The sequence below is a fragment of the Homo sapiens genome, chromosome 15 (genome assembly GCF_000001405.40).
Source record: "Homo sapiens chromosome 15, GRCh38.p14 Primary Assembly".
In the NCBI taxonomy this organism is placed as follows: Eukaryota; Metazoa; Chordata; class Mammalia; order Primates; family Hominidae; genus Homo; species Homo sapiens.
The window spans coordinates 63,113,811-63,138,912 of NC_000015.10; the positions used below are offsets into that span (position 1 = coordinate 63,113,811).

The following is a 25,102-nucleotide window of genomic DNA, read 5'->3' on the forward strand; positions in this document are numbered from 1 at the left end:
TTAAATAGAAAATGAATTTATTAAAACATATGGGGTGGGATGGCTACATATTTTATCTCCTCATTTGAGAGGGAAAGTGGAGTTATTTCTAATTATGCCAGGATTGCAAGTGTAAAGGACACACGAATGGAGTCTTTTAAGATTCGGGTGCTCCTAGAAGCTGGGCTGTTGACAGCGGCCTTGCGCCTGATACAGTGGTGGGTACAGTGGGGCAGCCCTGCCACACTGTGAGAACCCCTGCCACTTACTGCCCAGAGAGCTGCATGTCTCATCCAACACCGTCAATGGCATTGCCAGCTTCTGAAAATGTGCACCTCTGACTGGTGAGGCCTGCTTCACACACCTGCTGCCAAGCGAAGGGAGACAGACTAGGAAAGTAAATTCCTGATGGCACCACCTACCCGCTTCAGCCGGGACCTCCCTGCGGCTTTAAATGGCACCCTGGTCAGCTCCTAGAGAGAGGCCATTGAACTGGACTTGGCAGGGGAAATAGTACCTGAAGCAACCAAATATTCACTTGAAATTACACTGTTTTGATAGCTTCATGTGACGGAAAAGGTGTTGGACCAGATGGAGTTATCACTAAAGTTCCCCTCTACCCTGGTGGGGAGGGATTTGGCCAAGCAAAGCAGGTAGCAATTACTGGGAAAAACAAAACCTTCGTTGTTTATACTTCGGTGGATTGGGACCTCTCAAACAACCAGTTACAGTTGTTAACTGCCCTTTTGGGGGTATGAAAAACCCAGACCTTCCAGGGTCAGAGGCCTGGCCTCCTTCTTGGCAGAAGAGGAAATGAAGTTCATTCCTTTGTGGTGAACCTGATTCTGAAAAAACAAAACCCATTTTTTTCTCAGTAGGTTATCCTACCACATGTCCAACCATAGGAGTCTGGACTTTCTCTTATTGGTTAAGCTTTAAAGCATTTTGAACAGGAGTTAGATATGGTTATATTTGAGTTTCAGAATATTCATCCTGGTTCATATTCCACCTTTTTTTTTTTTTTTTTGAGACAGGGTCTCACTTTGTCACCCAGGCTGGAGTGCAGTGATGCAATATTGTCTCATTGCAGCCTCAGCCTCCTGGGCTCAAGTGATCCTCCCATTTCAGCCTCTCGAGTAGCTGGGACCACAGGCACACACCACCACACCCAGCTAATTTTTGCATTTTTTGTAGAGACGGGGTTTCACCATGTTACGCAGGCTGATCTTGAACTCCTGAGCTCAAGCAATCTGCCTGCCTTGGACTCCCAAAGTGCTAGGATTACAGGTATGAGCCACCACGCCTGGCCATCTTTATTTTTTTAATTAAACTTTTCCATAAGTTTATTGCGAGTACATAGAAACATAATTGATATTTTATGCTTATCATGTATCCTACGACCTTGCTGGACAAACATTCTAATTTTAGGAGGTGATGGGTTTTTGTTTTCCCTTTAACATTTTTTTTTTTTTTTTTTTTTTTTGAGATGGAATCTTGCCCTATTGCCCAGGCTGGAGTGCAGTGGTGTGATCTTGACTCACTGAAACTTCTGCCTCCTGGGTTCAAGTGATTCTCGTGCCTCAGCCTCCCGAGTAGCTGGGACTACAGGCAGGCACCACCATGCCTAGCTAATTTTTGTATTTTTAGTAGAGACAGGGTTTCATCATGTTGGCCAGGCTGGTCTCAAACTTCTGGCCTCAAGCAATCTGCCTGCCTCAGCCTCCCAAAGTGCTGGGATTAACAGGCATGAGCCACTGTGCCCAGCTCCTTTAAAATTGTTTACATAAGCAATCATGGCCTCTGCAAATAAGGACAATTTTATCTCTTTCTTTTTGATCTGTGTGCTTTTAATTGTCTTTCTTGCCTTATTGCACTCGATATAATTTCTAGCACCTTGTTGAATAAGAAAGATTAGAGTGGACATACTTGCTTCGTATGTCTTTCCCACTAAACATAATGTTAGCAATAGATTTTTTTGTAGATGTTCTTTATCAATTTGAAGAAGTTTTTCTCTATTCCTATTTTCCTAAGGGTTTTTTCGGTCATGAATGTGTTTTGCCTAATGATTGATATGTCTGCATCAATTGATATGATCATGTGATTTTTCTTTTTTAGCTTGTTAATGTGGTTAATAGTATACACTATACTGAGATATAGTAGGACAGGACTTGTGGCTAGAAGCAGCTGTAGAAGAGCATTCCTTCTTCTAAAGAAATAGCAGCAGAAGGAGATAAGGTACTGGATGGTCAGTCCTCAGCCTCATCTCTTACCTCACGCCCCTTAGTTCTCTACTCCACCCACCATGACTATCTTTTTTTTTTTTTTTGAGACGGGGTCTCACTCTGTTGCCCAGGCTGGAGTGCAGTGGCACAATCTCAGCTCATTGCAACCTCTGCCTCCTAGGACCAAGTGATTCTCCTGCCTCAGCCTCCCTAGTAGCTGGAATTACAGGTGCACACTACCACACCTGGCTAATTTTTGTATTTTTAGTAGAGATGGGGTTTCGCCATGTTGTCCAGGCTGGTCTTGAACTCCTGACTTCAGGTGATCTGCCTGCCTTGGCCTCCCACAGTGCTGGGATTACAGGCATGAGCCACCACACCTGGCCCATGACTATCTTTTAATTCCTTGAATGAAACCGCCTCTTCCCACCACAAGGCCTTAGCATTTGCTAATTCCTTGCATGGAACACTTCCCTTCTCTTTCTGCCCATACTTAACCAAGGTAATTCCTGTTTATCCTTAAAGTCTTGGATGTAATTTCATTTCATTAGGAAAGTCTTCCTTCATCTCCCAGATCAGATAACATCTCACATTATAACCTCTCAACACAGTATGCACCTCTCCTTCACAGCACTCATTACAACTAGGATTTTACATTTAATCTTGCCGTTCTGTTTATCATGACTCTATTACCGTATAGACTGCAAGTTCCAGGAGGGCTGGGACTATGTCTATTCTGAGTTGTTGGACAGAAGTTTCTATTGGTGTACCAGTGGTTTCTGTCTGAGTCCCACTCAGTATTTTGTTTTGTTTTCCTGAGACAGGGTCTCGCTCTGTCACCCAGGCTGGAGTTCAGAGGCATGATCACAGCTCACTGCAGCCTCGACCTCCCAGGGTCAGCAGTCCTTCCACCTCAGCCTCCCAAGTAGCTGGTAGTCACAGGCCACCATGCCCGGCTAATTTTTTAAAATTTTCTGTAGAGAACGGGTCTCACTATGTTGCCAGGGCTGGTCTCAAACTCCTGGGCTCAAGCAATCCTCCCACCTTGGCCTCCTAGATTGCTGGGTGTGAGCCACCGTGCCCAGCCTATAGTTTAACTTTAAAGCAAGGATGATTAGTCCCTCCCCAAAACTAACCCCCAAGGAGATAAGATGGGTATACACATAAGTAACAATGTTATGTTAAAAATTTGTAAGAGCACTGTGACCTGACAAAGACAAAGAAGCTTACCCTTGCTGCCACCCAGATGTCTGTGGTCACTGGTCACCTTTTGACCTAAGCCTCTTCCCGTTTTCCCCCTCCCCTAACATAAAAGGAGCCCAACATTCACATTTACTTAAGATGCTTCTTTAGGACAGTAGTCTGCCATCTTGGTTTGCTGGCTCCACAGAATAAAGTCATCTTCCCTGCTCCAACGCCTGTCTCTTGACTGATTGGCTGTTGTGTGGTGAGCAGTACAAGCTTTGGACGCAGTTACAGCAGTCCATCAAAACTGTAGCTCCAGCTTCAGAAGAGATGATATTAAAGTTCTCTCATGATCTTTTATTTCCCCAATTTCTGATAAGTGCATTTTCATATTTATATGGTTTTGCTTCATTTATTCCTATTTTGTTTTGTAATTCCTTTTTTGTTGTGTAGATATTATACATTTATTTATCTTTTATATATATTTTCAACAAATATATAAAATATATAAATACACAAATATATAAAAAATATTTTATATATACTTGTTTTATATATTTCAATATATAAAAATATATATTTAAAAATATATATTTGTTTTAAAATATATATATTTGTTTTATTTTCTATCACCCATCTTTTTCTTAGCCAGGGAAAGGCCTCTCTTTTTCCTCTTTTCCTGTATATCCTTCTACTGATTTTATTTTGTTTGGGGTGATTTCACAATTTGGTGGTTGATTTTATTGTCAGTGTTTTTTAGAAAACTTTTAAAAATATGTTTTGGAAACTTGGTTTGCAGATTTATTTTTAGTGGAAAGTTTCTTTCCTTCCCCTTTTCCTCACTTTTTTTCTCTCTTCCCATTCTTCTCCATGTGTAGTCATTTACCTTTTTTATTTATTTTTTTTTTTGAGACAAAGTCTCGCTCTGTCATCTAGGCTGCAGTGCAGTGGCGTGATTTCAGCTCACTGCAACCTCCGCCTCCCGGGTTCCAGTGATTCTCCTGCCTCGGCCTCCCGAGTAGCTGGGACTACAAGTATGTGCCACCATGCCCAGCTAATTTTTGTATTTTTAGTAGAGACGGGGTTTCACCATGTTGGCCAGGCTGGTCTTGATCTCTTAACCTCGTGATCCACCTGCCTCAGCCTCCAAAAGTGCTGGGATTACAGGAGTGAGCCACCGCGCCTGGCCTGTTTACCTTTCTTCTATCTGGTCTCTGCGGCTCCCACCCCAAAGCCAGCTCAAATGCTGGGGCTCTGGGCTCCTGCCCTAGAGTTGTAGTAAAGATCCTGCCAACAAGTCTGCAGGCTGCTTGGTCAGGTTGCCTCCTGGGCACTCAGCTTGCTGGAGAACAATTTATTTTCTGTTACCTTCTGAGAAAAGAAAATAACTTTTATGTGAAGAATGCAAGTCCTTTCAAATTATCAGGCCCAGGGAGACATTAAAATGAGATGGTGGCTGAGTATTGTGGCTCACACCTGTAATCCCAGCACTTTGGGAGGTCGAGGTGGGAGGATCGCTTAAGCCCAGGTGTTTGAGATCAACCTGGGCAACATGGCGAAAGCCCATCTCTAAAAAAAATACAAAAATTAGCCAGGTGTGGTGGTGCATGCCTGTGGTCCTAGCTACTCAAGAGGCTAAGGTGGGAGGATCACCTGAGCCTGGGAGGTTGGGGCTGCAATGAGCCATGATCACGCCACTGCACTCCAGCCAGGGCAACAGAGTGAGACCTTATCTTAAAAAAAAAAAAAAAAAAAAAGAGATGGCATTCATGTCCTACCCCCACAATAAGCTATGTATTCATCTCTTGAAACTGCTTGCTGTTGCCACGAGTAGTTATAAATTAACCTAATAATGGGGCACCAGACGCTAGAACCCATACCCTGTTGCTTAACAATGTATATAGCCAATCATTGTTATTTCTGTAAACCAATGGGGATCCCTGACAAACAACTTTGTATCAGCCCATTCCCTGTCCCCCTTTTTTTGCCTTTAAAGGCAAAGGAGGACAGGGGAGCTCCCCTTAATGGGGAGCTCATTCCAAGTTTCCTTGGGTCTGAGTCTTCAGGGCAGCTGTCCTCACTTTGGCTAAAGTAAAGTCTTTAAATTATATTTTGTGCCTCAGCCTCTTCCTTTTAGGTTAACACTTCCCAGAAGCCATACTTCAAATGGCCTCTCTGTACCTGCTTCTAGACTGGAAGTCCACCAGGACATTGGCTTTTGCCCTGTACATGGCAAACACAGGGCTCTGTTTCTTTTTTTATTTTTTATCCAAGGAGAGGTACAGAAGAGTGCAAAAAACACATATGTGAAACCAGCCCAATTGTCCAATAGAATATGTTTATGGTTTATTTTGAATAAAGAGAGAAAATTGACCTGCCCAGTCTTAAAACTTGAGAAACTTACATTTGTCTTATCTGAGTTCCTTTTGGAGGAAACCAACCATCAGGTCTCCCAGATAGTATCAAGAAACTGAAACTTACCAGATCACCACATTTGGACAATGAGACACCAGATCCTTCACCTGTCATGATTGCCTAACCCAGCGGTTCCCAGCTTTTTTGGCACCAGGGACAGGTTTCATGGAAGAAAGTTTTTCCATGGGGTGTGGGGTTGGGGCTGATGGGTATGGTTTCAGGATGAAACTGTTCCACCTCAGATCATCAGGCATTAGTTAGATTATCATAAGGAGCAAGCAACCTAGATCCCTCACATGCGCAGTTCACAATAGGGTTCGAGCTCCTATGAGCATCTAAGGTCATGACTGATCTGACAGGAGGTGGAGCTCAGGCAATAATGCTCCCTCACCTGCCACTCACCTCCTGCTGTGTGGCCCAGTTCCTAACTAGTCCATGGCCCAGGGGTTGGGACCCCCGGCCTAACCAACCACCTGCTTCCTGTTGAACAATTCTTCTTCCTTATCCCTCCCTATTTCCTGTTTCCCCACACATAGTTACATTTCTTCCTTGCTATATAAACCCCTAATTTTAGTTAGCTGAGGAAATGGACTTGAGACTGAACTCCCGTTTCCCTGGCTGCAGCACCTGAAAAAGCTTTGTTTTCCCCCGGCGATACTCATTGTCTTGGTGACTGGCTTTCTGTGTGGCGAGCAATGGGATCTAGGCTAAACCCTTGGTGTTTCAGTAACATATGTACAGTTTAAAGAAAAATTATGTACAGTTTAAATAAAAGTGGGCACTCATAACCACCACTGACTGCGTCTTTTACATTTTTCTCTTTATATTTTTTCTCTCATGTTCTTGGAGTAGTGGTGACCCCCACCGTGGGAACCTCCAGTACTATCTTAATAGAGTACATCTGTCCACTATAACTGCAGTTTCAGTGTCAAACGCTCTGGGTCCTAGGATATTCTGGTCTCTTGGAGTCTTGGGTTTTGTGAGTAGCCCCAGAAGCTTTACTTATTTAGCCCCACTATTTTCTTGCTAGGTATGGATACCATTATTGCCTTTTCCTCCTATTAAATAATTATTACCTCAATATATTTATTTTGAGGTATGTATATGTTTACTCAGTAAGTTTATTACCTCAATATGTTTGTCCTGATGGCTTGTCAGTTCAAGTCTGTGAGCTCTCTTCTTTATTCCACCTGCAAGAAAAGACAGGGCCATTTTGTATATGGGGCATATTGCCCCAGTGCTGAAGGTATAAAGCCTACAAGCTTTCAAAGATTGTGTGTGTGTGTGTGTGTGTGTGTGTGTGTATGTATGTATCCCAAAATATAAAAATTACAAAACTGATAAATGTTTAAGTAACTTCAAATTAACATATCAATTTCATTACACGTTAAACTAGGATTTTATACACATTTTACATTTTGTAGCAATTTGAGATTAGGTTTCTTATTTCACAAGAATGTCTGATCATTTACAGATGCTGAGAAATCATAGGTAATTGTAAATTATAATAGTTACTTTTGGATTAAAATTTTTCAAGCACGAAATTTTTAAAAAACACTTTATCTTTTATAGCAAAAGAAAGGTAATATAAGGTCTGGATGTAACTTCATGTCTTTGGTACGGTGTGGAGCTAGAATTCCAGAAGCAATAGATTTTAAAACATCTTTAGGGAAATGGGTGAATTGAAATGAGACATAAGGGAGATGGCAAGAGAGTGAAAAGAAGCGCGTTCTAAAGGGGGAAAGGAGAAAGGGAAAGGAAAGGAGAAAGGCATCTCTAAAGGGAAAGGAGATGCCTGCTGAGCGTCTACTGTGTGCCCTGCGCTGTTCCAGAAGTTGAGGATCCAAAACTAAGTCTAGGCTCCCCAAAGAAGTCCCACTCTGGTAAGGAATCTGACAAGTAGTTAAATGATACAAAGTGTTAACTGTTGTTAAAGAAGTGTGCACACTGAGGGGCAAGATGGTAAGGGCGAGAACTCCCATGGGACGGGAACTAGGAAGGCTTCTGGGAGGTGACGCTTGATCTGAGGGTAAGCAAAGGAAAAAAAGGAAAGAGAGACAGAAAGGAAAAACAAGGAAGAGACAAGAAAAGGGAGAGGAAGAAGGGCTCGATGCGATCGGCGCTCGGGTAGTCAGGCGTCGACTGCTAGGGTCTGACCGCGGTCCCCACCCCCGTCCCGCCCCCTGCCCTTCCCTCCGCCCCGCGCCGCGGCTGGCAGGGTGTGCGTGAGTTTGGTGGCGGCCGGCTGTGCAGAGACGCCATGTACCGGCTCATGTCAGCAGTGACTGCCCGGGCTGCCGCCCCCGGGGGCTTGGCCTCAAGCTGCGGACGACGCGGGGTCCATCAGCGCGCCGGGCTGCCGCCTCTCGGCCACGGCTGGGTCGGGGGCCTCGGGCTGGGGCTGGGGCTGGCGCTCGGGGTGAAGCTGGCAGGTGGGCTGAGGGGCGCGGCCCCGGCGCAGTCCCCCGCGGCCCCCGACCCTGAGGCGTCGCCTCTGGCCGAGCCGCCACAGGAGCAGTCCCTCGCCCCGTGGTCTCCGCAGACCCCGGCGCCGCCCTGCTCCAGGTGCTTCGCCAGAGCCATCGAGAGCAGCCGCGACCTGCTGCACAGGATCAAGGTGCGGCCACTGGAGCGGGGGGCGTAGGGGGCCGGGGATCCACCCCTGTCGGCGGTGCTGTCGGGGGCTGAGTGGACCCCACCCGGGGCGGCGGGGTGCCCGCGATCGGCTTCCGAGAAAGACTTCCCATTTCCCCACCGCCGAGCCGTGGTCAGACGCTCTTGGGGGTTCCCCAAATCTGGGTGGAGGTCACCGCCTGTCTCGGGGACCGCCCCTTCCCCCTAGGGGGCGGACAGGCACATCCCTTGCTGTTAGTGAGTGACCATGGCCTGGGACGAGGTGGGCGGGGCCCAGGTGGAGGGGGCGGGGCCCAGGCTCAGGGGGCGGGGCCTTGGAAGGTCCCCGAGGAGAGCGCTGGGCTTTTTCAGCAGGCCCGTAACTGTCGGTTCTTTCCCCTTCGGTCTTAGGATGAGGTGGGCGCACCGGGCATAGTGGTTGGAGTTTCTGTAGATGGAAAAGAAGTCTGGTCAGAAGGTGGGTTCAGAAAATTGTTGTTTTGTTCTGTGCCAGTTGGTAAATAAAATATTGTTTTACTGGTTAGAGTGGATCCCATGAAATGCTATTGCATTTACATAAAACGATGCATATTGTAGAGAAAACATCTAACATAATAAAGAGTCAGGTGTTTTTAAATCACGGTAAGGTTTAAAATGTGACTAATAAATTGGAGTCATGAGGATGGCTACCCACTCCCACTTTTCTCTTAGGACTGGATTTATTAGTCTGAAAGTTTTATACAGTAGTCCCTCCTTATCCTGGGGATATATTCCAAGACCCTCAGTGGATGCCTGAAAAAGTGGATGATATTGAACCCTGTATATACTATATTTTATCTTATATATACATATCTATGATAAAGTTTATAAATCAGGCATAGTAAGAGATTAGCAACAATAATAAAATAGAACAATCACAACAATACTCTGAGTGGCATGCAATTTAAAGCTTACGAATTGTTTATTTCTGGAATTTTCCATTTAATACTTTCGGACCATGGATAACTGAAACTGAGGAAAGCGAAACCACAGATAAGGGGTAACTACTGTGTAGAACAATCCATTAACTGAGTACTTGCAGGTAACACTTATGGGTAGATAAAACTCAGAATTTGTGAAGTTTTCTTTTTTAATTAAGTTAACAATTTCTTGAGGCCTCTCTTCCGTAAAAAGCAAAGTGCTAAGTACTGGGGTTATACACTATTGTAGGGACCAGCCCCACAGGGTCGGTGGGTCTCTCCCTGTGTGCGGCGACGAGAGAGTGTAGAAATAAAGACACAAGACAAAGAGATAAAAGAAAAGACAGCTGGGCCCGGGGGACCGCTACCACCAATGCGCGGAGACCGGTAGTGGCCCCGAATGTCTGGCTGCGCTGTTATTTATTGGATACAAAGCAAAAGGGGCAGGGTAAAGAGTGTGGGTCATCTCCAATGATAGGTAAGGTCACGTGGGTCACGTGTCCACTGGACAGGGGGCCCTTCCCTGCCTGGCAGCCGAGGCAGAGAGGGAGAGGAGACAGAGGGAAAGACAGCTTATGCCATTATTTCTGCATATCAGAGACTTTTAGTACTTTCACTAATTGACTACTGCTATCTAGAAGGCAGAGCCAGGTGTACAGGATGGAACATGAAGGCGGACTAGGAGCGTGACCACTGAAGCACAGCATCACAGGGAGACGGTTAGGCCTCCGGATAACTGCGGGCAAGCCTGACTGATGTCAGGCCCTCCACAAGAGGTGGAGGAGCAGAGTCTTCTCTAAACTCCCCCGGAGAAAAGGAGACTCCCTTTCTGGTTCTACTAAGTAGCGGGTGTTTTTTCTTGACGCTCTTCGCTACCGCTAGACCACGGTCCGGCTGGCAACGGGCGTCTTCCTAGATGCTGGCGTTACCGCTAGACCAAGGAGTCCTTCTGGTGGCCCTGTCTGGGCGTAACAGAACGCTCGCAGTCTTGTCTTCTGGTCACTCCTCACTGTGTCCCCTCAGCTCCTATCTCTGTATGGCCTGGTTTTTCCTTGGCTATGATTATAGAGCAAGGATTATTATAATATTGGAATAAAGACTAATTGCTACAAACTAATAAGATTAATGATATATATAATCATATCTAAGATCTATATCTGGTATAACTATTCTTGTTTTATATTTTATTATACTGGAACAGCTCGTGTCCTCGGTCTCTTGCCTCAGCGCCTGGGTGGCTTGCCGCCCACACACTATTCCTTGTCTTTAATGACTTTTCAGTCTACTTTATTAGGCTTTTTAACCAGGTAGAGGTGTCATCTATTTTTTTCAAACAGAAGGCAAAAAACTTAGGGAGAGGGATTTCTATTCATTTTATGATACTTTTATCAAGGCATTATTTTTCATAACTTCTCTGTTGCACAGAAATTGATCTAATTGGTCATCCTAGGTTTCTAGGAGTCCCACTTTTAGAAAATGATGTTTCAGGCCAGGTGCAGTGGCTCACGCCTGTAATCCTAGCACTTTGAGAGGCAGAGGCAGGTGGGTTGCCTGAGCTTAGGAGTTCGAGACCAGCCTGGACAACGTGGCAAAACCCCATCTCTACTAAAAACACAAAAAATTAGCCAGCCATGCTAGTGCGTGCCTGTAATCTCAGCTACTCGGGAGGCCAGGATACGAGAATCGCTTGAACTCGGGAGGCGGAGGTTTGCAGTGAGCCAAGATCGTTCACTGCACTCCAGCCTGGGCAACAGCGAGACTCTGTCTCAAAAAAAAAGAAAAAAAAATGTTTCATATGCCATTTAAAGGCAGTAAGTTGATGGGCGCAGTAGGGGTTTGAATTTGAAGAAAAATGGGCCAGTTGAGGTGGCGCACGCCTGTAATCCCAGCGCTTAGGGAGTCCAGGGAGGAAGGATGGCTGAAGACCAGAAGTTTGAGACCAGCTTAGGCACCATAGCGACACCTGTGTCTCTATAAAAAAAATTTTATTTATTTATTTTTTTTTTGGAGTTTCACTCTTGTTGCCCAGGCTGGAGTGCAATAGTGCGATCTCAGCTCACCACAACCTCCACCTCCCAGGTTCAAGTGATTCTCCTGCCTCGTCCTCCCGATTAGCTGGGATTACAGGCATGCACCACCACGCCTGGCTAATTTTTGTATTTTAAGTAGAGACGGGGATTCTCCATGTTGGTCAGGCTGGTCTCGAACTCCCGACCTCAGGTGATGCGCCTGCCTCGGCATCCCAAAGTGCTGGGATTACAGGCGTGAGCCACCGTGCCCAGCTTAAAATTTTTTAAAAAAGGAAAATGATTCTTCCTTCAAGTATAAGTATAATCTAATCATTATACCTAATTTATGATAAGTCTTGTAATCAAAAATTATATAAATGTCAGCTTTATGGACTTTATGCAAATATTTTTTAGATATTTAAGATTATACAAATTTATAGTCATTGTATTCCTTTTCTTTTCAGATCTCTGTTCTCTTTTTATTTATTTATTTATTTATTTTTTGGACAGGGTCTCTTACTGTGTCTCCCAGGCTGGCGTGCAGTGGTGTGATCTTGGCTCACTGCAATCTCAAACTCCTGGGCTCAGATGATTCTCCCACCTCAGCCTCCTGACTAGCTGAGACTACAGGTGCACTCCACCACGCCAGGCTTTTTTCTTTCTTTCTTTCTTTTTTTTTTTTGTATATTTTGTAGAGATGCGGTTTCTGCCATGTTGCTCAGGCTAGTCTCGAAATCCTGAGCTCAAGTAATCCACCCGTCTCCGCCTCCCAAAGTGCTGGGATTGCAGGCACTTTCTCTTTCTTAGTTAGATTTACGCACTTTCAGCCTGTGAGAACATGGAAACCAAATTTAAAATTTTTTCTAGAAAAAGCTTTAAGTTAGTACATAATTTTCCTCCTGGTTTGCAGTCGAATTAAATTGATGGTTAGCTAGATTTGGTTTGCAGGACATCTTTTCACACATTTTTGAGACAGTTTCACTTTGTCGCCCTGGCTGGAGTGCAGTGGCGTTTTCTCAGCTCACCGCAACCTCTGCCTCCAAGGTTCAAGCGATTCTCCTGCCTCAGCCTCCCGAGTAGCTGGGATTACAGGCACACGCCACCATGACTGGCCAATTTTTGTATTTTTAGTAGAGACGGGGTTTTACCATGTTGGCCAGGCTAGTCTTGAACTCCCAATCTCAGGTGATCTGCTCACCTTGGCCACCCAAAGTGCTCAGATTATAGGCATGAGTCACCATGCCCGGCCCACACTTACTTTTATTGAGTGGCTATTTCAAGGAATTCAGTGGAAATTTACTCAAAAGTCAAAAATAAATATAATCTGAAGAAGAATAATGATGTTTTCTTTAAAGAATACTTTATTTAAAATGTGGAATAACTCAGTTGTTTAGATAAGCTAAGAAAAATTTGTATCTAAGTCATAGAAAATTGCTATTGCAAACAGGGTACAATTTCACTTTAGTTATAAGGTTAAATTGTTAGGCTTACCGATATACTAAGATTTTAATCCTTTACATGTCCAGTGTTAAGTAACTTATAAAAGTGGAGTATCTTTTCTTTTAGATAAACACAGCATGTTTAAAGATAGTATTATTTCAGGGTTTGAAAACTTGTTTGACCATGAAGCCTGTTAATAGTGACTTTTTGCTTTTTTCCCCCAAAGGTTTAGGTTATGCTGATGTTGAGAACCGTGTACCATGTAAACCAGAGACAGTTATGCGAATTGCTAGCATCAGCAAAAGTCTCACCATGGTTGCTCTTGCCAAATTGTGGGAAGCAGGGAAACTGGATCTTGATATTCCAGTACAACATTATGTTCCCGAATTCCCAGAAAAAGAATATGAAGGTGAAAAGGTACTGAAACTCACAGTTCATTTTACTAATGGCATGTTAAATGGTTTATGCTGGAATTTATATTTAAAATGTTTCATAGGATTCTTTGGCTTGTTTTTAGTTATTGTTAATGTATTAGTTTTTCTTAATCCAGATGATAATCAGGTAGGTATTTTTCTGAAATTTGAGGCTAAGGATTTGTACATGACATTTTCCCAGCAGCAGTTCTAAGTGGAAAATATTACTGAGACATTATTCCGAGGCAACTAACTTTCTATTTTTCAGGTTAATATTGTAATTGAATTTTCATGTTTTTACAATTAGGTTTCTGTCACAACAAGATTACTGATTTCCCATTTAAGTGGAATTCGTCATTATGAAAAGGACATAAAAAAGGTGAAAGAAGAGAAAGCTTATAAAGCCTTGAAGATGATGAAAGAGAATGTTGCATTTGAGCAAGAAAAAGAAGGCAAAAGTAATGAAAAGAATGATTTTACTAAATTTAAAACAGAGCAGGAGAATGAAGCCAAATGCCGGAATTCAAAACCTGGCAAGAAAAAGAATGATTTTGAACAAGGCGAATTATATTTGAGAGAAAAGTTTGAAAATTCAATTGAATCCCTAAGATTATTTAAAAATGATCCTTTGTTCTTCAAACCTGGTGAGTGTTAATCCCTTCTCTTAACAAAATCATCATTACTGAAATGTTAATTTTCAGGAAATCCAAAATGATACCATCCGGAGTGCATTCATTGAGGTTGATGATTGTGATACGGACTAGTCTGGTGCTTGCGTTTTTGTCTGTAGTTTCTAACAAAGCCTAGCATCCAGGCAGCTTGTTTAAATTTTGCCTCATTGGAGACTACCCAGTCATTTAGAGGATTCTCAGTATCAAGATGTTCATGCAAACTTATGGAGAAATGTTGGAATAATAGTTCTCTAAATACAACCTGGACCAAAGTAGACATGATAAGGTATTGCTGATATTTTAGTATTTAGTTAGAATTTAAATTGCTCAACTTATTTTGTGCCTTTATTTCTTAAAGAAATGAGTGTTCATCACTAATTTTTTGCCAAAAATCTGCTCTATACAAATAATTATCTTTGTTTTATTTTTTGATTTGGTGCCTATTGAAGCTACTTAATATCTAAATTTACCATAGTTTGATATACTTATATTCATTTTTCATTTTAAAAGCTTTTAGTTGAATAGATATTTTATAGATATGACTAATAAGAGCAAATAAGATATAATTATGGATTTTATCTTAAAAATAAAGTTCCATGCTGGGCACAGTTGGCTCACGCCTATAATCCCAGCACTTACAGAGGGAAAAGTGGGAGGATCGCTTGAGCCCAGGAGTTTAAGACTAGTCTGGGCAACAAAGCAAGGCCCTGTTTCTCCAAAAAAAATTTTAAATTAGCCAGGTTCAGTGGCCTGTGTGTGTAAGTAGTCCTAGCTACTCAGGAGGCTGAGGCGGGAGGATCCCTGAGCCCAGGAGTTCAAAGTTGTAGTGGGTTGTGATCATACCACTTTACTCTAGCTTGGGCAACAGCAAGAGCAAGACCCTGTCTCAAACCAGTTTGAGTTTGTCCAGAACCCAAAATGATATAAAGTTATTTATTTGAAATACTATGTATATTTGAATATATATTTAAATTCAAATATGTATTTGAAACAAAGTTTGTGTGCCTACATTTATTTTATTTTATTTTATTTATTTATTTATTTTGAGATGGAGTCTGGCCCTGTCACCCAGGCTGGAGTACAGTGGCGGGATCTCAGCTCACTGCAAACTCTGCCTCCTGGGTTTAAGCGATTTTCCTTCTTCAGCCCCCTGAGTAGCTGGGATTATGGGTGCCCGCCACCACACCTGGCTAATTTTTGTATTTTAGTAGAGACAGGGTTTCACCATGTTGGCCAGGCTGGTCTCGAACTCCTGACCTCAGGTGATCCTCCCCCCTTGGCCTCCCAAAGTGCTAGGACACAGGAGTGAGCCACCGCTCCTGACCCATATATTTTATTAAAATAAGAACGTGTTTGCCCATTTATGCCCTAAACAATGAGTAGAGGTATATTAAGAACAAAGTTGACTCAAGAAATCAAATTTGCTTTTCTTTTCTTTCTGTTCCTGTTTTGTTGTCACTTTGAAATATTTTTGTTTTGTTTTGAGGTAGGATTTATTTGCTTACTTTATTATCAGAGAAAGGAGCAGATTTATGTGAAATGTTAAGTATGCTGATCATAATTTTATTCTTGTGTTAAGGACTTGGAATAAGGACAGTTGCAAAGTTAACTCAATTTGTTGATGTATTGCCTGTGTTCTTTTTCTGAATGCTGAAGTAAAATATTCCAGTTTTAAAAGTATGCCAATTTTCAGTGGGAATATATTTTATATGTTTTTGAATAATAATCAAGTATTTTATTTTTTTCCTCCTCGCAATGATGTCTCAAGGTAGTCAGTTTTTGTATTCAACTTTTGGCTATACCCTACTGGCAGCCATAGTAGAGAGAGCTTCAGGATGTAAATATTTGGACTATATGCAGAAAATATTCCATGACTTGGATATGCTGACGACTGTGCAGGAAGAAAACGAGCCAGTGATTTACAATAGAGCAAGGTAAATGAATACCTTCTGCTGTGTCTAGCTATATCGCATCTTAACACTATTTTATTAATTAAAAGTCAAATTTTCTTTGTTTCCATTCCAAAATCAACCTGCCACATTTTGGGAGCTTTTCTACATGTCTGTTTTCTCATCTGTAAAGTGAAGGAAGTAAAACATGTTTATAAAGTACACTAAGACCCTTTGATGAAAGATAGCAATAATATTAATAATTCAAACATGAATAACTAAACCAAAATTGCACCCACCATGAGCATCTGTAATTTGCTCTTTAACCATTCCTTTTTTAGGTTTTAACTAATACTTTGTTTACGTGTTATTAGTTTTTAATTGTTTTCATACTGTTTTGAAATAATTTTATACTTATAGAAAAGTTGCAAGAGTAGTACAAAGGATTCACATATCCTCTTTACTCAGATTCCCTTAATGTTAGTTTACCGCATTTGCATTACCTTTCTGTCTACATATGTGTTTGTTTCTGAACCATTTGGAAATAAGTTGTAGACGTGATACCCCTTTACCTATAAATATTTACATGTGTATTTTCTAAAAACAAGGACATTCAGGGCCGGGTGCAGTGGCTCACGCCTGTAATCCCAACACTTTGGAAGGCCGAGGTGGGTGGATCACCTGAGGTCAGGAGTTCAAGACCAGCCTGGCCAATGTGGTGAAATCAACCCTCTCTCTACTAAAAATGCAAAAATTAGCCAGGTGTGGTGGCGGGTGCCTATAATCCCAGCCACGCGGGAGGCTGAGGCAGGAGAATCGCTTGAACCCAGGAGGTGGAGTTGCAGTAAGCCAAGATCGTGCCCCTGCACTTCAGGCTGGGCGAAAGAGTGAGACTCCATGTCAAAAAAGGAAAAAAAAAAAAAAAAAAAGGACATTTGGGAAATTAACATAGATACAATGCTTTTATTAAATCTACAGACCTTACTCAAATTTTGCCAGTTGTTCCAATAATGTCCTTTATAGCAAAAGAGCAGAAAAACTTTTTTTTCTGGTCTAGGATCTAATCCATGATCTCACATTGCATTTACTTGTCATATCTATCAGAAGTCACTTGACATCAGTTTGTCCCATTATTGCTGATGGTATTTTAATCACTTTTTGAGGTGGTGCCTGTCAGGTTATTGTAAAGTTACTATTTTTACTTTATAATTAACAAGTATATTTGGAGGAGATAATTTGAGATGATGTAAAAATCCTCTTTCTCATCAAACTTTCTACTAGTTTTAGCATCTATCAGTGATTCATGACTGAATCAGTTATTACAGTGATGGTTGTCAAATGGTGATTTTCTAATTCCATCATCCATTCTGTATTTATCAGTTGGCATTCTATTATAAGAAGGTGCGGGCCGGGGCGGTGGCTCACGCCTGTAATCCCATCACTTTGGGAGGCTGAGGTGGGCGGATCACATGAGACCAAGTTTGAGACCAGCCTGGCCAACATGGCGAAACCCCATCTCTACTGAAAATACAAAAAATCAGCCGGGCATGGTGGCATACACTTGTAATCTCGGCTGCTCGGGAGTCTGAGGCAGGAGAATCTCTTGAACCCAGGAGGCAGAGGTTGCAGTGAGCCAAGATCATGCCACTGCACTCCAGCCTGGGCGACAAAGTGAGACTCCATCTCAGAAAAAAAAGTGCTTTCCCTTCTCTCTTATTTATTTATTCATACCAGTATGCACTCATGGATTCTTATTTTAGTCAATGAGTTATAATCTGTCACTGTCATTATTTAATATGTTGCTTTTAAAATAGTATATGAAATAATAAAACTGTAACAGTAAATGGTTATTAGATTGCTTACCTATATGTGTATTTTTTGTTTTGTTTTGCCTTACATTTGTAAATATTTATTAAGCAAATACTACATGCCACATACTATACCACATAATAGAGCTAACCTGACATAGCTCCTGCCCTCCAGGAGCTTACAGACCAACATCTAGCAAATAATTCAATTAAGTACATACATTTTCTTTCAAAAAGAATACATGTTATGACTAGGCACAGTGGTTCACACCTGTAATCCCAGCACTTTGGGAGGCCAAGGCAGGAGGATTGCTTGAGCCCAAGAGTTTGAGACTAGCTAGGGCAACATAGTGAGACCCCGTCTCCACAAAAAATACAAAAATTAGCCAGGCATGGTGGTGCGTGCCTGTAGTCCTAGTTACTCGGGAGGCTGAGGTGGGAGGATTGTTTGATCCCAGAAGGTGGAGGTTGTAGTGAGCTGAGGTCGCCCCACTACACTCTAGTCTGAGTAACAGAGCAAGACTCTGTCACCGCCCCCAACAAAAAAAAAAAAGAATATGATGATTATGTAACATAGTTATCAGTGGGGCCACACTGCCCTTTAGATATGTAGCTAACATGGTAATCCCCTAATTTCTTTTTGTAATTATTATTTTAGATTCAGGGTGTACATGTGCAGGTTTGTTACATGGATATTATATAATGCTGAGGTTTGGACTTAAATTGAACCTGTCACCCAAATAATGAGCTTAGTACCTAATAGGTAGTTTTTTAACCCTTGCCCTCCTCCCTGCGTCCCCCTTTTTTGAGTCCTTGGTGTCTCTTGTTTCCATCTTTATGTTCACGTGTACCCAGTGTTTAGCCCCTACTTACAAGTGAGAATATGTGGTATTTGATTTCCTGTTTCTACATTAATTCACTTAGGATAATGGCCTCTAGCTACATTTATGTTGCTGCAAAGGACATGATTTTGTTCTTTTTTATGTATATGTGTAGATATTTAATTGAATGATTTTCTGCTTTATTTTGTGTGTGTTGATAGTAAACATTAAAATGCTCTTCTTATTTGGATTATGCAGACCTCTGCTACATGCCATTAATAAGAGTAATTAAGATTTTGGGGGCGGGGCAAGGTGGCTCACACCTGTAATCCCAGCACTTTGGGAGGCTGAAGCAGGTGGATTGTCTGAGCTCAGGAGATCAAGACCAGCCTGGGTAATATGGTAACACCCCATCTCTACCAAAAGTACAAAAAAAATTAGCCAGGCATGGTAGTGTGTACCTGTAGTCCTGACTACTTGGGAGGCTGAGTTGGGAGGATCACTTGAGCCTGGGAACTTGAGGCTCCACTGAGCTGTGATTGCACCACTGCACTCCAGCCTGGGCAAGAGAGCGAGACCCCATTTAAAAAAAATTTTTTTTTGATATATTATAAAAATACAAAGCAATATCTAAAATAATTGAACACTTAAAAACTATCTGGGTATAAACACTGTTTTACAGTGAGGCATCCTTAGGTACTTTTTAATAAGTTTTAAGATTTAAAACATTTAAACGACATTTTCTCTCCATTTTCTTTTACAGCTTTTAAATATAAACTATCAAGTTGAAGTTACTTACGTAAATTTGAATTGGGTGTTCAAACAAAATTCTAGGCAAATTGCTTAAGCAGACTTTAATATTTTATGGAGAGGCTTTAGAACAGATTTTGACAAGTTAACTAGAATTTTTACCCTTAGGAGTGAAAAATGCTATGATTTTATATAATTTCATATTTGATTCATTTACCACTATAATAGGAAAGGGTTTAGTCAGCTTTTTAGCCTTTACAAATTTTATATTTTAATTTATGCTTTCTCTTATGGAGACATTTTCTATGACTTAGAGTTTTAACTACTAATTTACATAATCTAAAATAACTCTGGCCAGGTGCTGTGTGGCTCATGCCTGTAATCCCAGCACTTTGAGAGGCCAAGGCAGGAGGATCATTTGAGGCCAGGAGTTTGAGACCAGCCTTGGCAACAGAGTGAGACCCCATCCCTACAAAAATTCTTTAAAAAATTAGGCGGGCATAGTAGCGCACACCTGCGGTCCTAGTTAATCAGGAGGAGAGGATCACTTGAGCCCTGGAGTTTCAGGCTGCAGTGAGCTATGATTATACCCTGCTCTCCAGCCTGGGTGACAAAGCAAGATCCTGTCTCTAAACGTTAATTAATTACTTAGTTAATTAAATAAAACAAGCACAAGACTATATGAAAGTGCTAAAAAATTTCCATGTTCAGCTGAGATGAGACAGGATTAAAGTAATGTGAACTAAATACAGATTTCTTGTCTGAACTGGTATACTTCAAAAAACACACATGGAAGTATTGAATTTTAAAATTATAAACATTTGAGCTTATTTTGTAGAGAAAAATTTGAGACACAGTATTAGCAAATGCGATAAAGATTTGTTTGACTTTTTAAAGTAATTTGGGGTTTTATTATTAGAGGAAAAAGTATTTGGAAAGCAAATACTTGGTAACTTTTCAAAAATACTTTAATTCAGAAAGAACAAAATACTTATGAAAGGGCAGTTGTGTCAAATGTTAGGAGGGTGAGTCAGAAGTTTATAAAATGGCCAGTTGAGTTATATCTTGATTATTTGTGGTCAGAATTAATTCAGTTTTTTAAGTATTTGTATTCTTTACTGATTTTTATCTGTTTACTCCTCTCTCTTCATACCATAGTGGTTTTCAAACTGTAGGTTTGTATGTCCAATTATTGAGTTGGAAAATCAGTTTAGTGGGTTGAGTACCAGGATTTCTTTTTTTTTAATGGAAAAAAATAGAATAGAATATGATAAAGTACATTGCAGGTAGTAAAGGTAAATATAAGCTTTGGGATAAAGGTTAGGCTGCTGCATTAAAGGGGCACCAAAATGCAGTGGCGTGAGGAAAATAAAAGTTTAATTCCCCCTTGCAGCATTCCTGAGGTGAGCTGTTCTGATTGGTTCCCCACAAGCCTTTAAGAGGCCAGATTCATCCATCTTACTGCTCCTCTCTCCACAGTGGTGTCCCTGTCTGTACACCTGAAGCTCAATCACAGCCCTGCAGGTGCCCCAGCCTCCTGAAAAGAGAAAGGGTATGGAGCATGTACTCAGGGCCTTAAGGTCTCCAGACTTGCAAGTGTCACACTTCATTTCTGTCCACCTTCTGTTGGCAAAAACTTAGCTGTATGGTCACACTTTGCGACAAGGGAGGCTGAGAAATGTAATTTGTAGCTGAGCAGGCATGTGCCTTGCTTTACTTTATTACTAATGAAGAAGAGTCAATTTTGTGAACAACCAGCCATCTATGCCACTGGCCACTGTGTTGCTCCATAAAACTTCTGTTTTAGAAGGGTGTGATGTGTGTGTGATGTGTGTGTGTGTGTGTGTGTGTGTGTTTTCATTCAGTCAAAAGGAGAAATATATTCCTCACTGTGGGTTGAGGTTAAAAAAAAAGTTTGAAAGCCATTCAGTGGACTATGTCAAACTAAAATTTTATTATAATTTTTGCTAGTAATTTGTGAAAGGGGCTTTGGAAGAGAATTTTGAATGTTAATTACTGATAGGAATTTTACAGTTATATTTTATTTTCCATTTTATTATTTGATTTGTTAGAAAGGTAGCACATTTAACAAATCAACTATTACTTTTACCTTGCATATTTCCATTAGTACATGCTTTACAAATGGTTTAATTGTACTTTATAAAGAAATAGATGAAATGGTGGCTTTTTTTGGAAAATTTTTTAGCTTTGTGTTCTTATCTACATACTAGTTTTGTTCAATCTTCTGTTGTATTTAAATTATAATTGTTCAATTATCAGCTTATTTAAAAGGATTAAATATGCATTGCAAATCAGTTTGTGGCCTAAAAGAGATTTCTTGGGGACCCAAAATAAATTAGATTAGCAACAAGCAATGAATTTTAATTTTTTAAATGGCCTGTGGTTCTCAACTACTTCAGACTCTTTGTGTTTATTATTTTTGGATCTAGCATTATATTTTACTGGAAAGCACAAGAAAAATGATAAATACCATTGGGAGGCCAAGAGGGGTGGATTGCTTGAGCCTCGGTGTTCAAGACCAGCCTGGGCAACATGGTGAAACCCTGTCAGACAATACAAAAAAAATCAGCCGGGCATGGTGGCATGCGCCTGTAGTCCCAGCTACTTGGAGGCTGAGCGGGGAGGATCACCTGAGCCCAGGAAGTTGATGCCGCAGTGAGCTGTGATCATGCCACTGCACTCTAACCTGATGATGGAATGAGACCCTGTCTCAAAAACAAAAGACAAATACCAGAAGTTGTCAGTTGAATCTAAAAAAAGATTCTCTAGTAAAGATGGCATGGATGTATGACCTTACTATGATTTAGATCTAGACATCTGAAAGTTTGAAAATGGACGTCTAGCTCTGTGTATAAGGGGGAGAAGGACGTTATGTCCACTCATTGAGCCTCTTTTCTAAGCTAGAAATTAAGTCTCTGTGAATGTGCAGACTGCAGAGCAGCTATTATTTCCTGTTTTCTTGATGAGTAATTAACTTGTGACTTGCGCAAAAATCAAAATATGCCATATGATGGTGAGTCAATTTCATTTTCTTTTCTTTTTTTTTTTTTTTTTGAGACAAGATCTCACTCTGTTGCCTAGGCAGGAATGCAGTGGCACAATCATACCTCACTGCAGCCTTGAACTCCCTGGCTCAAGTGATCCTCCTGTATCAGCCTTCCAAGTAGCTGGAACTACAGATGTGTGCCACCACACCTGGCTGATTTTTAAATTTTTTTGTAGAGATGAGATCTTGCTGTGTTTCCCAGGCTGATCTCCTGACCTCAAATGATCCTCCCTCCTCAGCCTCCCAAAGTGTTGGGATTACAGGCGTGAGCCTAGCTCATTTTATTTTCTATTCTTTGAAAAAAGGCGATGGGTTTCTATCTCTAGTGTTAAGGGTCCCTATCAGCTCTGAGATGCTTTTGGTTTGGTTTTTTTGTTTTGTCTTGTTTTAATTTTTGGTAGTTCTCGATGGTTCTAAAGGGTAGTTGATTCATTTTAGTTAGATAAAATGGGCTGCTGAAATAAAATAGGGCACTAAAAGAGGAAATATTGTTACCTAGGAAAATGTTTTGTCTGTTTGCTTTATTTATTTTATTTGATACAGTATCTATTTGGGCCTCTAAAACTCAACTCTGATTCTTTTTTGTAATAATTATTTTAAAGGAGTTTAAAGGCACCAGCTTTTTGGGGGAGTTCAGGGAGTAAAAGGAATCTCTTCAAAGATACAGGCAAAAATAAAACCTTGAAGTAAAACTTAATAAATATATATGTTTGGATTCATTTGTTTTATGGTACCATTTTGAGGGGAAAAAAATGTTTCCAGCTTCGTTATGTAGTCTACTGACTTGTTGGGTATAACCATAAACCTGTTTATAATATCCTGACTAAGGCTTTTTAGAGTTACTATGTTTCCAGGAGTAAATATTTCTCTTCTTTATCACTTCTCTGTGTGTTTATGCATGTGTTTAAAATAGTACCATACGGTGTCTGTCACCTGTTTAAAAGTATCTCACCAGAATCCCACCTCACAATAGCACTTAAATTCTTTTGCTCAGATTTGAGTCACAACATCACACTTAGCTGTAAGGGAGGCAAGAGAATTGTTTTTAACTGGATATGTTGTTGTCTTGAATAAAATTGGGATTTTCTTAAATGGAACAGTGGGGACACTGTTTCTGTTTAGGCACATAACTATACTGATTCTGTGTAGCAAATATACTCTGTATAGGCAAGTACACTAAATAACCCAGTAAGTGAACATCACAAAGGAGCTCAGTGAATGTTCTTGCCACTGAAAGACACTCAATTTGTTGATAGGGGAATCCTCAGTCAATGCCTCGGCTTATTATTAGAACTTGGCCATATTTTTTATGTGTTTGGCACAATGTTTGCAACAAAAATTTCTAATTTTATAACTAGATGGGATGAAAACCAAATAAAATGAATATTTTCTGGAGTGTTTGCTGCATTTTTTAATGTTTAAAATTTTTAATTTCAATTTTTATGGGTACATAGCAGCTGTATATATTTATGGGGTACGTGAGATGTTTTGATACAGGCATGCACTGCAAAACAATCACTCGTGTAAAATGAGTTATCCATCCCCTCAAGTATTTATCCTTTGTGTTACAAATGATCCAATCCTACTCTTTTAGTTATTTTAAAATGTACAATTTTTATTGACCATAATCACCATGTTGTATTCTCAAATACTGGATCTTATTGATTATTTATGTTTCTTTTGTACCCGTTAACCATCCCCCACCTTCTCTCAACTTTGGCTGTATTTTGACAGTATAAATATGGCCTTTACCTTCTATTTCTAAAGTGTCTTCTAGAATTAAGAATTGTTCCATATCAAGCTCTTTTTCATGCCTTTAGCTGACAGACTCTCTACTGGTAGTTCAATTCAAATGTTAATACTAAATGTTAAAGTGGGATTGTTTTTATAACATGCATTTGAAATTATGTTGGTTTTCAAACTTCTTATAACAATAAATACCAAGTGATGAATATTGTCTCTAAAGACATTTAAGAAGCATTTTAAAAATAAGGCTGGGCGCAGTGGCTCATGCCTGTAATCACAGCACTTTGGGAGGTGGAGGCAGGTGGATCACTTGAGCCCAGGAGTTCGAGACCACCCTAAGCAACATGGCAAAACCCTCTCTCTACAAAAAATACAAAAATTAGCCAGGCAAGGTTGTGTGTGCCTGTAGTGCCAGCTACTCAGGAGGCTGAGGTGGGGGATTACCTGAGCCTGGGATCACACCACTGCACTCCAGCCTGGGTGACAGAGTGAGACCCTGTCCCCCCACCCTTGAAAAAAAGTATTTTTAGTTTCTAAGTTTGTAGATGTAGATTTCTGTGGTGATATAACATTCTTGTGCAGAATCTGGAGATTCTTATAAATAAGTATGAAGAAGCTGTTTGTCATCTGGCGTCATCCCATCAGTTAGTTACAAAAATGTCTCAGTAACCTAGTCAAGAACTTGTGTCTATATTCTTTTAAGCAGAAATGTTCTAGGAATTTGAAATGGTAAAGTTTATCTTTCAGCTGAATAAAATTATTTTCATAAAAATGTACTAATTTGTCCTATGTGAAAAGGAACTAAGAGATTAAAATCTAGAATTTGCTTATTAAAGCTAGAATTATAAAGTCTAGAAGTCTCCATATTTTTATATTTAAAGGAGGAATGACTGAGGAGTTCTAGTTTCCAGTCTTAATGTAAGTGGTTTGAAATGCTTTACTGTTAAAAGGAAGTTACAGAGCTGGGCGCAGTGGCTTACACCTGTAATCCTAGCACTTTGGGAAACCAAGGCTGGCAGATTACATGAGGTCAGGAGTTTCTGACCAGCCTGGCCAACATAGGGAAACCCCGTTTCTACTAAAAATACTATATATATATATTAGCTGTGCGTGGT

The 25,102-nt window shown here is 40.8% G+C and overlaps 1 protein-coding gene and 1 long non-coding RNA gene across 5 annotated transcripts in view, besides 3 other annotated features; one reads left to right on the top strand and one right to left on the bottom strand.

The window, feature by feature from the left end:
• On the bottom strand, positions 1-7,957 carry LOC107984798 (uncharacterized). Its single transcript, XR_001751584.1, has 2 exons — positions 6,930-7,957; positions 1-346 (listed from the first exon to the last, which is right to left on the bottom strand). It is a non-coding gene; the product is annotated as an uncharacterized LOC107984798 (long non-coding RNA).
• Positions 7,940-8,519: a silencer, noted in NCBI's record as "silent region_6508". NCBI's record gives its function as "represses an Ori minimal core promoter by ATAC-STARR-seq in GM12878 lymphoblastoid cells {active_cell/tissue: GM12878}" and the evidence as "EXISTENCE:reporter gene assay evidence [ECO:0000049][PMID:35858748]".
• The window catches only part of LACTB (lactamase beta), a 20,201-nt gene continuing 3,149 nt past the window's right edge, over positions 8,051-25,102 (top strand). Inside the window, exons 1-6 of one of the 4 annotated variants that reach the window (XM_047432128.1) lie at positions 8,051-8,418; positions 8,826-8,892; positions 13,049-13,239; positions 13,543-13,879; positions 15,675-15,840; positions 17,176-17,657. In XM_047432128.1, coding sequence (XP_047288084.1) covers positions 8,062-8,418; positions 8,826-8,892; positions 13,049-13,239; positions 13,543-13,879; positions 15,675-15,840; positions 17,176-17,320 — 1,263 coding nt within the window. In that variant the 5' untranslated portion in view covers positions 8,051-8,061 and the 3' untranslated portion in view covers positions 17,321-17,657. Of the gene's footprint in view, positions 8,419-8,825; positions 8,893-13,048; positions 13,240-13,542; positions 13,880-15,674; positions 17,658-25,102 lie in introns of those variants that run through there. The other 3 variants (NM_032857.5, NM_171846.4, NM_001288585.2) reach the window with 3 other exon arrangements.
• Positions 8,540-8,609: a silencer, noted in NCBI's record as "silent region_6509". NCBI's record gives its function as "represses an Ori minimal core promoter by ATAC-STARR-seq in GM12878 lymphoblastoid cells {active_cell/tissue: GM12878}" and the evidence as "EXISTENCE:reporter gene assay evidence [ECO:0000049][PMID:35858748]".
• Positions 8,620-8,809: a silencer, noted in NCBI's record as "silent region_6510". NCBI's record gives its function as "represses an Ori minimal core promoter by ATAC-STARR-seq in GM12878 lymphoblastoid cells {active_cell/tissue: GM12878}" and the evidence as "EXISTENCE:reporter gene assay evidence [ECO:0000049][PMID:35858748]".